The sequence below is a fragment of the Homo sapiens genome, chromosome 9 (assembly GCF_000001405.40).
Source record: "Homo sapiens chromosome 9, GRCh38.p14 Primary Assembly".
Taxonomy (NCBI): Eukaryota; Metazoa; Chordata; class Mammalia; order Primates; family Hominidae; genus Homo; species Homo sapiens.
The window spans coordinates 4,518,504-4,533,840 of NC_000009.12; the positions used below are offsets into that span (position 1 = coordinate 4,518,504).

General features: G+C 40.1%; 1 protein-coding gene across 7 annotated transcripts in view; it reads left to right on the top strand.

The window, feature by feature from the left end:
- Window positions 1–15,337, top strand: part of SLC1A1 (solute carrier family 1 member 1) — a 97,002-nt gene that overhangs the window by 28,036 nt on the left and 53,629 nt on the right. For 3 of the 7 annotated variants that reach the window (XM_011518007.2, XM_017015042.2, XM_011518008.4), the window contains one exon: window positions 1,325–1,393. The exons of the other annotated variants lie outside the window; for them this stretch is intronic. In XM_011518007.2, the coding sequence (XP_011516309.1) occupies window positions 1,325–1,393 (69 nt within the window). The remainder of the gene's footprint in view (window positions 1–1,324; window positions 1,394–15,337) is intronic. 7 annotated transcript variants of the gene reach the window in all.

A 15,337-nucleotide genomic window follows, 5' to 3' on the forward strand; every position in this document is an offset into this window, starting at 1 on the left:
TTACACACGTGGGCCACTGCGCCTGGCCTACAGTATGGTTTTTAAATATCTTTGTGCTCTCCCTCTGTAGACATCTTTCATTTGCTTAGAATCTGTGGTGATGGAGGCCTCATGCCCTATTCCAACTCCAGCTGCCTGTCAATGTAGTGTCTGTAGCTTCTTTCACATGGAGAAGCTATCAGTCCCATTCTGTCCATCAAGGTAGAGTGAAAAATATCAGGTCACTCTGCTGCCTCTACCACCTTTCAGCACTGATGGCTCCACTCCCTGAGGGGAGAGGCACAAGTGACAGGGAAGGAAGAAAGAAGAAGAATTTTCTCACTTTGTGATTTATTGCATTTAATTCTCACCCTGAGTCTGAGTTGGGTATCATTCCTTCTTGACTTATAGCAAAATCAAGGCACATAGAGGCTGTCCTTTATGCTCCATCCCAAAGCTAGAAAATAAATGATGAGTGGTTTGGGCCCGGTTGTGTCTAATTGTGTCATGTTTTTTCACTATTCTGTCTGCCTTAGGGTCTCCAACCCCTTTCAGCTGTATTTATAAGACTGATGTTTGCAGAACTGTTTATTAGTTTGCAGGACTGTTTATTAGACAACTACAAACGGAGCTGAAATAAAACTTTGGTTTCTGTTTGCTCTAAAGAGAAGTTTCTGTTCAATCCTCCACTGGGAGTGTGTCTTTAGGCCTCTAAATTTTATACCATAACTATTTGTATAATTTGAATGGTCTCCAATGAAATGGATACAAATAATAATAAATACATTCTAAAATAGCAATAATGCATGACATTGGTTTAGATCACAGTGTTTCCTATGTACATTTTCTCTTTGGGTTCACCCAACATTCTCGAGATACCCTCACTCAAGTTTTTAGATAAAGCAATCAAAAAGCAAGAGGATTTAAATGACATAGGTAAGTATGCATGTGGTAGAAATGGAATTAGAATCCAGATTCTTAGCTCCTCTTTTCATTATCTGATCCTGCTTGGTTTTTACTCACACCAGGCAATAATTTTGAAAGCTCTGCTCTCTCTACTTGTGATATTATTATCTGTTGTTATTATTCAATCATAAATATTTATTGAGCCTTCCTGCAGGCCAAGGGCAGGGCTAAGTCCTGTGCATTCATTATTTCACTTAATGCTCAGGACAGCCATATGACATAGGTACTCTTCTCATTTCTCTTTAACTGATGAGGATACAGAGGCTTAGAGGGATTCAGTAACTTATGTAAGGTCACACTGCTAGTAACTGGTAGGACATACTCAACTCCAGATAGGTGACTCATGGAAATTTCTGCTGTGTCTTACATCTTCACCTAGATTGTAAACCACATGGGGACCCGGACCACATGTCCTCCACAGAGCTTAGCAAAGTGGTTGTATGCACAGGTATGCAAGTCATTAATTAATGACAGTTGATTTTTTCTCGGCCATTAGCTTTTATTTTACTTTATCTATAGGGATTTTCAGATCACACTGTTCTCAAAATAATCCTGGTTTTCTGTTGGCTGTTTTGATTTATCTTTAGACACTGTAATTGAAAATTAAGCTCTTAAGCATCTCCTTTACAGGCTATGTTCCACAATCTGTAATCACAACTTTTCTTTAAATTGATCATCATCTTTTGAGCTGTTAATAAACATGTCTGGCTTCATTTGGGTTTTCAAATTGTTATTTCCAGACGGTGAGACTTTCAGATCTGATAGGCTCACACACATCCTGCCAAGTGGAAGTTTGAGCAAAATGTCACATCTTTGGCAATATTTGTGCTATTAGTATGATGATTAAAGGAAAAAGAAAAGTTTCACTGTGATGTCAGCAGCTTTCCCACCTCATGAAAAAGCCATCAAATTATCAACCAATCAAAATTAAATGAATCCCATTTAATTTTATTATTATCTATTTTTCTTTTTTCCCCGTTTTAAAAATGAATTTGGTTCATTTGCTTTCTGCTTCTGGATTTGCCTGTTCTGGACATTTCATATAAATGGAATCATATAATACATGGACTTTTGTGACTGGCTTCTTTGGCTTGTTTCACTTAGTGTAATGTTTTCAAGGCTCATCCATACCACAGCATGCAGCAGTGCTTTATTCCTTTTTATGGCTGAATATTATTCCATTGGATAGAGATACAATATTTTGTTTATCCAATAATAAATTGGGCACTTAGATTGTTTTCACATTTGGCTATTAGGAATAATGTTGTTGTGAACATTTCTTGTACAGTTTTTGTGTAAGGACATGTTTTCAATTCCAGAGGCTATATATCTAGGCATGCAATTGCTGGGTCACATGGTAACTCTATGTTTAATTTTTGAGGAACTGCCAAACAGTCTTCCACAGAGGCTGCAACATTTTACATTCTCACCAAAAAGGCAAAAAGATTCCAGTTTCTCCACATCCTCACCAACATATATCATTTTCTCTTTTTTGTGTTTTTTAAAAATAGCCATTCTAATGAGTACAAAGTAACATCTTATTGTGGTTTTGATTTATATTTCCCTAATGACTAATAATATTCGACATCTTTTTATATGCTTACTGTCCATTTGTATATCTTCATTGGAGAAATGTCTATTCAAATATTTTGTCTATTTTTAACAATTTGGTTGTCTTTTCATTGTTGAGTTGTAAGAATTCTTTATGTATTCTAGACCCTTACCAGATACATAATTTGCACACTTCTCTTTTTTGAATAAATTGCAAAGCAACATTTTTCAAAAAAATTTTTAATTTTTTTCTGCCATATTGTGAAGCTTGGTTGTCTCTACCAGGTACTACCTCCTATTTACCCATAAGTATTTGGAAGGTCATCAGGATTTATGCTCAAAAATGGAGTTTGGGGGTGAGAAGGAAGCACTTTGTTTGGAGAGGGTTTTACTGTTGAGGCCCTGCATTAATCCCCTCTGCCACCTCCAGGAAAGCTGTGGTCACATCTGGTATAGTAGAAAGTGCCATGGTGGCTGAGGAAGCTTGTGGGTTTATCACATTTTTATCCATGGTGGCATGGACACCTTGTTTTTGCTTCCGAATTGCTCTTAAAGAAAAATTCTGGGGCGGATGAACCCCATCATCATCCAGGAAGAATATTTGCAGCACATTTTTTCTTGTCATGATGAGTTTGCTGTTTGAGACGGTATGGTAAGAAGCTTTATAATGGCTGGCTAGTGTCATTTTCCCTCATTTAGGCTCAACCGTGACTTTATATCTGTATACTTTATGGAAGGCCTGGAGCCTCACACTGAGGCAGAAGAGGGAAGGGGCAAGTGCAGTTGATGGTGGCAGCTAAGTGGGAGAGAAAGTCAGCGAAGACAATTATTTATTCAAGACCTTTACAAAGGGAGCAGCCCCACTTGTTTGCATGTTGATTGAACCATACCTTAGTGTCCAGTTGCTTGAGGCTTGCAGCAGCATCTTTATGCTCTTCAAAGTGAGTGCTGCCATTGGTAGCAAGGTCTTATGGATGCCCTTGCTAGGCCCATTTCCTTCTTTGTTATTCCAAGTATACTTCTAATGAATCAGAACCTGCCTCTTTTTTTTTTTCTTTTTTTTTTTTTTTGAGATGGAGTCTTACTCTGTCGCCCAGGCTGGAGTGCAGTGGCACAATCTCAGCTCACTGCAAGCTCTGCCTCCTGGGTTCGTGCCATTCTCCTGCCTAAGCCTCCCGAGTAGCTGGGACTACAGGCGCCCACCACCACGCCCGGCTAATTTTTTGTATTTTCTGTAGAGATGGGGTTTCACTGAGTTAGCCAGGATGGTCTCGATCTCCTGACCTTGTGATCTGCCCGCCTCAGCCTCCCAAAGTGCTGGGATTACAGGTGTGAGCCACCACGCCTGGCCTGAACCTGCCTTTTAACAAGACCCCAAGGTGATTCAAGGCACATCAAAGTTTAAGAAGCATAGATTTACATTATATTCTGTCTATCCCTGCACATCTCACATGGTTATTCAGCCTAATGTCCGTGTGAGTCAGTCTTCCTCTTTCTTTTCATGCCTTCCATGGATTTCACCTGGTGTACTCTTGATACCATCTGTATTAGCCTGTTCTGACAAGGCTATAAAGAAATACCGGAGACTGGGTAATTTATAAAGGGAAGAGGTTTAAATAACTCAAAGTTCTGCGTGGCTGGGGAGGCCTCAGGAAACTTACAATCATGGCAAAAGGGGAAGCAGGCACCTTCTTCACAAGGCAGCAGGAGAGAGAGTGTGAGCGTGTGAAGGAGGAACTGTCAAACACTTATAAAACCATCAGATCTCATGAGAACTCATTCACTATCATGAGAACAACATGTGGGAGACCCCCACCTCCATGATCCAATCACCTTCCACCAGGTCACCTCCCTTGACACATGGAGATTATGGGGATTACAATTCAAGATGAGATTTGGGTGGGGACACTGCCAAACCATATCACCATCCTAGTACTGGCTGCAGCTTCCTTTAATTACTGGATGAAGAAACACAATCTTTTGATCAACTAGCATTTCCCTGAAGCACTTGTAAACAATTCCATAAAAATCCTGAGATAGGTACCTATTTGTGTTTACTCTTGAACTTTCCCCAGCCTCCTCCTCCCCATCCCTGTCTTCCCACAGCTCAATACTTCCACCTTCCATTGTTCAGTACCCCGCTGTGACTCCTGCCTGTGCTGAGTTGCATCTATGATTGACTCTCATTAGATGTGAGCTCCTTGAGGGAAGGGTCTTACATCATCCATTTTTATACCTTGATTCCCACCCCTGGACCTAACACAGGTCCTTGGACATAGTAAATATTTGCAGAATTTAATTAAGTTATTGAGTCACATTGGAAATAATTTCAGAAGATACCAAATGCCTTTTCTTTTTTTTTTTCCACATGCCATTTGTTCTCGTACCACTAAGACCCTAAGACTTTTATTTTGTTGATATCAAGTGGTATAAATATTAACAAACATTGTATTATATATCATAATTTTAACTCTGAAGTTTTTAATTTATAGAACAAAAGTTAATATTTCTCTACCAAAATAAATGTCATAGACTGAGGAAAGAATTTTGTTAATTTGGTCATACCAAAAATATTTAACATTAATTTCTCTCCTCAACTTCTGACTCTGCTGCTCCTTAACTCTGTAACCATGACTTACCTGTCAAAGCCAAAACTCTTTTGAGCATTTCATGAGAAAATCTATAAAGAGTATATAGCCTACAATAATAGCTAACATGTATTAGCTGTACTTACAGTGTGAGCCAGGTACTTTTTATTCTAAGTACTTTACATATAGTCTCATTTTAAAATCTCCTAATGACTCCATGAGGTTGATATTTTGTTCTTCCCATTGTTATAGGTGAGGAAACAGAGGCACAGGCTACAGGGTATTTTGTCCAAGATAACACAGCTAATAAAGTGGTGAGGCCAAGATTTGAACAGTCTCTTCTTAAAGAGCCTGCCTCCTGAAGGGTTACTGATGAATTCCTTTCTTCCTTCAAAATGCTTCATGTGATTTAACATGCCTTATTTCATTGTGTATATTAAAGGCCCTTTGTTTATACATTACTCTCATCTATATTTCCCCATTTGGCCAATGCATTGTATAAATTAGGTGATCTGTAAATGATTGTTGGCTAATTGATCCTATGTGCATACATGGGAATACTTGGAAAAGCAATGATTGTTTTAATATAACAAGTTCTTGATGTAGCAAGATTGTTCCTATACATTGTGGAACTCTCAATTTTAATATTTACTGACTCCATTATCCATCTTAAAATGGGCATATCGGAAAGGGTAAGGAATAAATAATTGATGGTGGTGTCACACATCTAGTAATATGATAGTTGAGCTAATATGAATTGGTTCTCCCACCATCTCAAACACAAAGAAATATAAAAGTCCCCTCCAGACCAATGCAGAGCCAAACCCAAACTCAAAAGCAATAAAGGAAATGCCCTTGTGCCAGAAATAAAAAGGGAACTCAAAGCCAGAAGTATAAACAAGATCTGGTGCTAAGGTCTAGACCTGTCTTAATCTGTTTTGTGTGGCTGTAATAGAAGACCTGAGACTGGGTAACTTATAAAGAAAAGATGTTTATTTAGGTCACAGCTCTGTAAGTTGGGAAGTTCAAGGGCATGGCCCTGGCTTCTGGTGAAGACTTTCGAGCTGCATCAAAATATGATAGAGAAAGTCATCTCATCTTGGGCCATGTGTATATAATTTAATTTTAATAACTAATATAAAATTATTGTTAAAATATGGTAGAGAAGATCAAAGGGGAAGCAGATCTGTACAAAGAGGAAAAACCCGAGGGGTATCCTGGCTTTATAACAACCCACTCTTGAGTATACTAATCCATTCCCATGAGAACTAATCCAGTCCTGCCAGAGTGAGAACTCGCTACTGCAAGAATAGCACCAAACTATTCATGAGGGATCCAGCTCATGACCCCAAGGGCTCCCACTGGGCCCTGCCTTCCAATACTGCCACAGTGGGGATGAAATTTCAGCATGAGTTTTGCTGAGGACAAACCAACCATAGCAAGACCCACTTACAGGCTTTAATAATGGGAGATAGGGGTCTTAATATCCACATGGGGAAAAGTGATATGATCTTGGCCCACGTGAGTGAAGGAGTCTAAACGAAACCTTGACATAAAGTCTGGAACCACAAAATTTGGCCCTGCCCTTGGAAACAAGAGCAGAGAAATTCTACCTAGTGACTAAGGAAAACCTTAAGAAAGTTTGCCATTTGTCCATGGCTAAAATAAGAGGTTAAGAGGGTACCCATGAGAAGATTAAAATCCAGATTTATACTTCCCTCAGTGCATCATCTAAATTTACACCACTGTGTAATGCCGATTTATCAAGCTGAAAAATTAATATGAAAACTGTCCTGGAGGACTTGAAACTCCTAAGTCCCCAGAAAAAATAAGTAGCCTGTAGGTAGACTTTCACAACTCAGAAAAAAGCCAACCCCCTCCTCAAAAGACAAGCCTATGATCAAAAATTACAAATTACACAGGAAAAGACCCAGTAGGAGAATAGGTATCCCCCAAACTGGAGATGATAGAACAGTCTGAAATAATATATACTAAATATGTTTAGAATAACTAAAGAAAAACAGGTGGAATAGAAACTAGATAATAGAAAAATGATAGTGTGAAAAGGATACTGTAAGTTCTAGAAATGAAACTTAGAGTGGAATTAAAAATTCAGTGAATGAATTAAACATCCAGTAAATGCAACTGATGTAAGGACTGGAAACTGCAAAATAGGTGTGAGAAAAATCAGTCAATGCATCACAGAGAGATAAAAAATGGGGAATATATAAAAACCCTCCAAGGACCCATAGATTTGGAAACTGAAACTCATATTTTTTCAAAGAATTTACAGTTCAAAGAAAAAAATCACAACATAGATTTATAAGATATTTAGAACTAAACAAAAGTAAAAATACCATATAATAATTCACAGGACATCAACACAGAATTTAGAAGGAAATGTCTTATATGCATATACTGAAAAACAAAAACAAAGCTATAATTCCAGCACTTTGGGAGGCCGAAGCAGGAGGGTCAGTTGAGGCCAAGAGTTTGAGACCAGCCTAGGCAACACAGTGAGACCCTGTCTCTACAACAAAACAAAACAACAACAAAAAAACTCACAAAGATAATGATAATGAGCTAAGCGATCAACTCCAAAAGGGAGAAAAATAACATAGTAAACCTTTAAAAATTAGATGGAAAGAATTTATTAGATAAGAGCAGAATTTAGACATATAGAAAACAAAATAGGGAATGTGATATGGAATACTGAACAGCACTTTGAATGAACTGGATCTACTTGTATTAATATTAATAAATCTCAAAAACACAAAAGAATTTCAAAAACACAAGGCAAGAGAATACATCCAGACTGATACCATGTGAGTTAGATTTTTCAAGCACAAACTGACGTGAGTAGTAGATGTATAAAGGCATGGACAAAAAGTAGGCTCAAATTAAGTGATTATCTAATCTATCTAAGAGAAGATGGAATTGGGGAGGATGCAATGGACCCTCAACCATAATGTTTTATTTGGAAAAAAAGATCTGTGGAGGATTTGTTCAGTCTGCGTGGTGGATGTATACATGTTTATGTATTTTTACTTTTCATTGAAACATTTCAGAATACTCTTTCAAAGAATCAATAATTCAGATTCTGTATACTGAATAGAATTCTAACAAAATTACAATTAAGAAATAAAGTTAATGCCAGTGTTGCATGAGGTTTTTACTCATGTGGTTTGGTTGTAGTAAGGGATCTACAATAGTTGTAGTAGGCAGTTCTGAGACGGCACCCAAGATTGCTACTTCTTGGCAAACATACCCTGCATAATCCCCTTACTTTAAGTGTGGATATGATGGGATTTCACATTCATAATTAGATTACATTCTTTGGCAAAGGTAAAGAGACTTTTGCAAATGTAATTAAAGTCCCTAATCAGTTGATTTTGAGTTAATCAAAACAGATGATCCTGGGTAGGCCTGACTTAATAAAGTGGAAGCCCTTAAAGAGACTGGGCCCATCCTGCTGACTCTGAAGAGGGAAGCCACTGTGTTGTCAGAGGGCCACATGGCAAGGAACAGTAGGACTTGCAGGAGCCGAGAGGAGCCCCTGTTGACAGCCAGTAAGAAATCCTACAACTACCAGGAAGTGAATCCTGAGAACAGCATCATGAGCCTGGAAGAGAACCCTAAGCTCCAGGAAGGAATACAGCCTAATTGACACCTTACTGAAGCCTTGTGAGACCCTGAGCAGAGGACTCAGTGTAGCTGTGCTCAGACTCCTGATCCATGGAAATTTTGAAATATTACCCGTGTGTTGTTTTAAGCTACTAAATTTGTGGTGATTTGTTACACAGCAATAGAAAACTAATGCAGTAGCTCTATCTACCCTGTTGTATGAAAGCAGTTTGTAAATTGACATGCTATATAAACAGTGCTGGTTTTGTTATGGCATTGATTATTCACATTTTATCTGAGTACTATGATCAATACACTAGACTGTTATGGTATACTACATTTGCCATTCTGCTATACCTTCTCTTAGAGCACAATTTTGATGGAGATAATCAAACCAGGTTCTCATTTTAGATAAAATTTCCACAAAAGATCTACAGAAATTGTTTCTAAGCTTATATTACAAAAATGGCAGCACCTATCCAATGCTAATGTCTATGCGAACATCTCTATTATATGGAGTTTGAGTTTTGAGACCATTTTCTTACCGTTTTGAAGCCATACTATGGGGCTCACTTCACTGATCTAGTAGATGTTCTGGGTATCTGTCATGGCAAAGTGGTAAGTCTTCTGAAAAGAAGTGGCATCTCAACTTGAACTTTAGAAAATGCAAGAAATAAAACCCTCCTGAAGTAAGACCAGGAGCACATCAGAAGACTCCCTTATTGGGGTCACAAACTAAGAACGAAAGAATACCCACCTCTTGTTACTCAGCTTATTCTGTGCATGTTATCCTCTGTGTTTATTTCCCTCTCGTCACCCCCTAGTTTTTAGTAAAGTCTCATTTAAACCTTCTAGTGTAGCTTCTGTTATGCCAGGGATATTAGGAGCATGGACACTTTGATGCATACCACGATGCGGTGATGACAGTGCTAATTGATCAGAGTCTCCCCAAGGGAAAGACATCTGCAGGAACAAGACACAAAACTGTACAGCCCACCTCCCCTTCTCACAAGAAGATACTTCCTGCATGGAAAATCTTGGAGGACTGGAGTTTGATTTTATTAAAAATGCAAGTTAGGAGGTGGGCACAGTGGCTCATGCCTGTAATCCCAGCACTTTGGGAGGCCGAGGCAGGCAGATCACGGGGTCAGGAGATCAGGACCATCCTGGCTAACATGGTGAAACCCCGTCTCTACTAAAAATACAAAAACAAAATTAGCTGGGCATGGTGGCCGGTGCCTGTAGTCCCAGCTACTCGGGAGACTGAGGCAGGAGAATGGCGTGAACCCGGGAGGCGGAGGTTGCAGTGAGCCAAGATCACGCCACTGCACTCCAGCCTGGGAGACAGAGCAGGACTCCGTCTCAAAAAACAAACAAACAAAAAAATGCAAGTTAGATTTTCTTATAGTTTGAGAGTATTCTGGTTTAAGAAGGTGGGAAGAAGTAAAATTGGTTGAGGATCTAAGGTATAAAGAGATGATACCAGAGGTTTGATAAATTGAGCCCTAACCTTAACAGTACATGCTTCTCAGTCTACATTCCGAGTTGGCTGTAATATATGCGGCCTCATCCACTCTTACCTTTCTTTGTGACACTGATACCCTTATCAACACACTTCATCCACGTCTCTTTCTTGTGCTCTATACACACATATCCGTGTCTTCATTAAGCATCTTCCCCTCAGTGTCCCATCCAAAACTGAACTCATCATCTTTAGAACTATCCATATTACCCACTTTGGTAGGTATCACCATCCACCCTGTTACCCAAGCTAGAAAACAAGAACCCCAGAACTTCACTTTCTTCCTCATCTCTACTGCCTTCCACCTTCAGACATATAATTTATCACCAAATACTAACTCGTCCACCTCCTAAATTTGTTCCCCTTCTCCACTCTTTAACACCGCTCACCTTGGATCACAGCAGCCACTTACAGGATTCGCACACTGCTTTCTAATGCAAAACTCCTTCCAATGAAGGAGTAAATCCTCCAGAGGCTTCCCACTGCCTTCAGGATCAGCTTCAAATCCTTAGCTTGGCGTATGGGATCCTTCACCACCTGCTTCTTCTTACTTGTGCAGTTACGTACATCTACCTAATTATGGGCCACACTGAATTGCTTGAAGCTGTTTAAATGTGCCAAGATATCCCAGATTTCTGACCTTTAAGCCTTTGCAGTAGTCTTACGAATTCATACTCGTCCTTTCCCAGACAAATGTCTCTACTCTTTTGATGAAACTGTACTGTCTTCCATCCTTAAGGGCAGGGGACATGCATCCAGCTGTCTTTGTAGTCACACAGTGTGCCATGATGCCTATTTCTGTAGGTGCTCAATAAGTGTTTGATGTGTATTTATTAGGATAATATACCTATGTATGAGTGAACAAATGAATATGCAGATGAATGAATAAGTGTAAGGAGGAATGAAGGATGAATTAGATAATTAAAAGCCTCTGCCATCAGTCAAAATGAAACTTTTTTTGTGTGTGTGTGTGTGTTGTAGAGATGGTGTCTCATTATGTTGCCCAGGCTGATCTCAAATTCCTGGGCTCCCACCTTGGCTTCACAAAGTACTGGAATTACAGGTGTGAGCCACCATACCTGGACTCATTTTTAAAATATATATATACTTGATTACTTCACCACAATAGTGTCCTTTTGCTCATGGCCCATGGGCCTAGTCCCTTTTAGAGTTCTCAGTCACCTGTAAGATACATGCCTTGAATGCTACCAGGTGATAAATTTGAGTTGGACAATGAAGAAAATATTGTACATGTATTTTCTTATTTATTTAGACCAAATAGGCTGAGAGAGTAACTTGAATATTTAAGAGCTTCCTTAAAATGCACCATAAATAATGGAAAGTGAATGACTTGATTACTTCCCTTATTTTTCTCTTATTTTTATTTGGGTTGATAGGAAGGAGGAGGTTTGTGGAGGGGGAGAAAATATAAAACAGTGGAACATGCAAAAAGAGGGCCCAATTCTTCCCTTTCTCTCAATTTCCATGATATAACTAACTCTGATCTCTCATGGTGGGCAATGGAATATTGTGGATAAAGTCTGGATAACTGAATTGTCAAAACCCTCCAATATGGACCACTAATTAAAGCACTGAAAGCACAACTAAGTGTACTCAGTATGTTAATGATGCAGAATACAATGTAACCTTTGATTCAGGAGCGGCTTCAAGATCCAAGCGTCCTGGGAGAAGCAGCAATCCCTCTTCCTGGGCGCAGAGATGCTGGTTTAACACAGTCATGTGTCAGAGAAAACTAGTTTTTCCTGCAGGCCCAAATCCTACCCTAGAGAAACCCATTAGACCTTTACCAAAATCAACTTTTCTTCTGAGTCAGACCGAATTCTTAATTGTAGGTGATAGACCAAAAGGGAAAGATGACTCAATGTAAATAATCGTTGCTATTGACAAAACAGTGCAAACCACATTTCCTGTTGATGGTGGAGTCACCCATGACGGAAAACATTTTTATTGCTTTAATAACACAATTATATTATTTTTTAACTCTTCCCCTTCAAATCCTCTAGCACTTAATATAGTGCTTGGGATATATTTGGATATTAATAAATGCAAAAGTGTTATTGCCTCTTTTTGAATTAACATACTACAAAGAATGTGTTTACTGTACTTTCTTACCTTAAAACTTAAACCTAAAAATGTATGCTAATATGAACCTTTGCTTGACATTTCATGCTTGCCTCTTTGGTCGCTAGGAAAAGTCAGCAACATTCAGCAAAACTGTCAAGGATTGGAGCATTTAATAGTTGGCTGATGGTCCACAGGCAAGTCCATCCAAACAGCCAAAGTTGTATTACTCAGTGTTTTTAAAAGATGAAGATTTGGGGTGGAGCCAAGATGGCCAAATAGGAAGAGCTCCAGTCTACAGCTCCCAGCGTGAGTGACTCAGAAGATGGGTGATTTCTGCATTTCCAACTGAGATACCAGGTTCATCTCACTGGGGAGTGTCGGAAAGTGGGTGCAGGACAGTGGGTGCAGTGCACCGTGCGTGAGCCGAAGCAGGGCGAGGCATCGCCTCACCCGGGAAGCACAAGGGGTCAGGGAATTCCCTTTCCTAGTCAAAGAAAGGGGTGACAGATGGCACCTGGAAAATCGGGTCACTCCCACCCTAATATTGCACTTTTCCAACGGTCTTAGCAAATGGTACACTGGGAGATTATATCCTGCGCCTGGCTCAGAGGGTCCTACGCCCGCAGAGACTCACTCATTGCTAGCACAGCAGTCTGAGATCAAACTGCAAGGCAGCAGCGAGACTGGGGGAGGGGCGCCCATCACTGTCCAGGCTTGAGTAGGTAAACAAAGCAGCCGGGAAGCTCGAACTGGGTGGAGCCCACTGCCCCTCAAGGAGGCCTGCCTGCCTCTGTACACTCCACCTCTAGGGGCAGGGCAGTGCCAAACAAAAGGCAGCAGAATCCTCTGCAGACTTAAATGTCTCTGTCTGACAGCCTTGGAGAGAATAGTGGTTCTCCCAGCACACAGCTGGACATCTGAGAACAGGCAGACAGCCTCCTCAAGTGGGTCCCTGACCCCCGAGTAGCCTAACTGGGAGGCACCCCCCAGTAGGGGCAGACTGACACCTCACATGGCAGGGTAACCCTCTGAGACAAAATTTCCAGAGAAATGATCAGGAAGCAACATCTGCTGTTCACCAATATCCACTGTTCTGCAGTCTCCGCTGCTGATACACAGGCAAAGAGGGTCTGGAGTGGACCTCAAGCAAACTCCAACAGACCTGCAGCTGAGGGTCCTGACCGTTAGAAGGAAAACTAACAAACAGAAAGGACATCCACACCAAAACCCCATCTGTACATCACCATCATCAAAGACCAAAGGTAGATAAAACCACAAAGATGGGGAAAAAACAGAGCAGAAAAACTGGAAACTCTAAAAATCAGAGCGCCTCTCCTCCTCCAAAGGAACGCAGCTCCTTACCAGCAATGGAACAAAGCTGGAGGGAGAATGAGAATGACGTTGACGAGTTGAGAGAAGAAGGCTTCAGATGATCAAACTACTCTGAGCTAAAGGAGGAAGTTCGAACCCAAGGCTAAGAAGTTAAAAACCTTGAAAAAAAAATTAGACGAATGGCTAACTAGAATAACCAATGCAGAGAAGTCCTTAAAGGACCTGATGAAGCTGAAAACCAAGGCACGAGAACTACGTGACAAATGCACAAGCCTCAGTAGCCGATTCAATCAACTGGAATAAAGGGTATCAGTGATGGAAGATGAAATGAATGAAATGAAGTGAGAAGAGAAGTTTAGAGAAAAAAGAATAAAAAGAAATGAACAAAGCCTCCAAGAAATATGGGACTATGTGAAAAGACCAAATCTACATCTGATTGTTGTACCTGAAAGTGATGGGGAGAAAGGAACCAAGTTGGAAAACACTCTGCAGAATATTATCCAGGAGAACTTCCCCAACCCAGCAAGTCAGGCCAACATTCAAATTCAGGAAATACAGAGAACGCCACAAAGATACTCCTCGAGAAGAGCAACTCCAACACACATAATTGTCAGATTCACCAAAGTTGCAATGAAGGAAAAAATGTTAAGGGCAGCCAGAGAGAAAGGTCGGGTTACCCACAAAGGGAAGCCCATCAGACTAACAGCTGATCTCTCGGCAGAAACTCTACAAGCCAGAAGAGAGTGGGGGCCAATATGCAACATTCTTATAGAAAAGAATTTTCAACCCAGAATTTCATATCCAGCCAAACTAAGCTTCATAAGTGAAGGAGAAATAAAATACTTTACAGACAAGCAAATGCTGAGAGATTTTGTCACCACTAGGCCTGCCTTACAAGAGCTCCTGAAAGAAGCACTAAACATGGAAAGGAAAAACCGGTGCCAGCCACTGCAAAAACACACCAAATTGTAAAGACCAGAGAGGCTAGGAAGAAACTGCATCAACTAACGAGCAAAATAACCAGCTAAGATCATAATGGCAGGATCAAATTCACACATAGCAATATTAACCTTAAATGTAAATGGGCTAAATGCTCCAATTAAAAGACACAGACTGGCAAATTGGATAAAGAGTCAAGACCCATCAGTGTGCTGTATTCAGGAAACCCATCTCATGGGCAGAGACACAAATAGGCTCAAAATAAAGGGATGGAGGAAGATCTACCAAGCAAATGGAAAACAAAAAAAGGCAGGGGTTGCAATCCTAGTCTCGGATAAAACAGACTTTAAACCAACAAAGATCAAAAGAGACAAAGAAGGCCATTACATAATGGTAAAGGGATCAATTCAACAAGAAGAGCTAACTATCCTAAATATATATGCACCCAATACAGGAGCACCCAGATTCATAAAGCAAATCCTTAGAGACCTAGAAAGAGACTTAGACTCCTACACAATAATAATGGGAGACTTTAACACCCCACTGTCAACATTAGACAGATCAACGAGACAGAAAGTTAACAAGGATATCCAGGAATTGAACTCAGCTCTGCACCAAGCAGACCTAACAGACATCTACAGAACTCTCCTCCCCAAATCAACAGAATATACATTCTTCTCAGCACCACACCTATTCCAAAATTGACCACTTAGTTGGAAGTAAAGCACTCCTCAGCAAATGTAAAAGAACA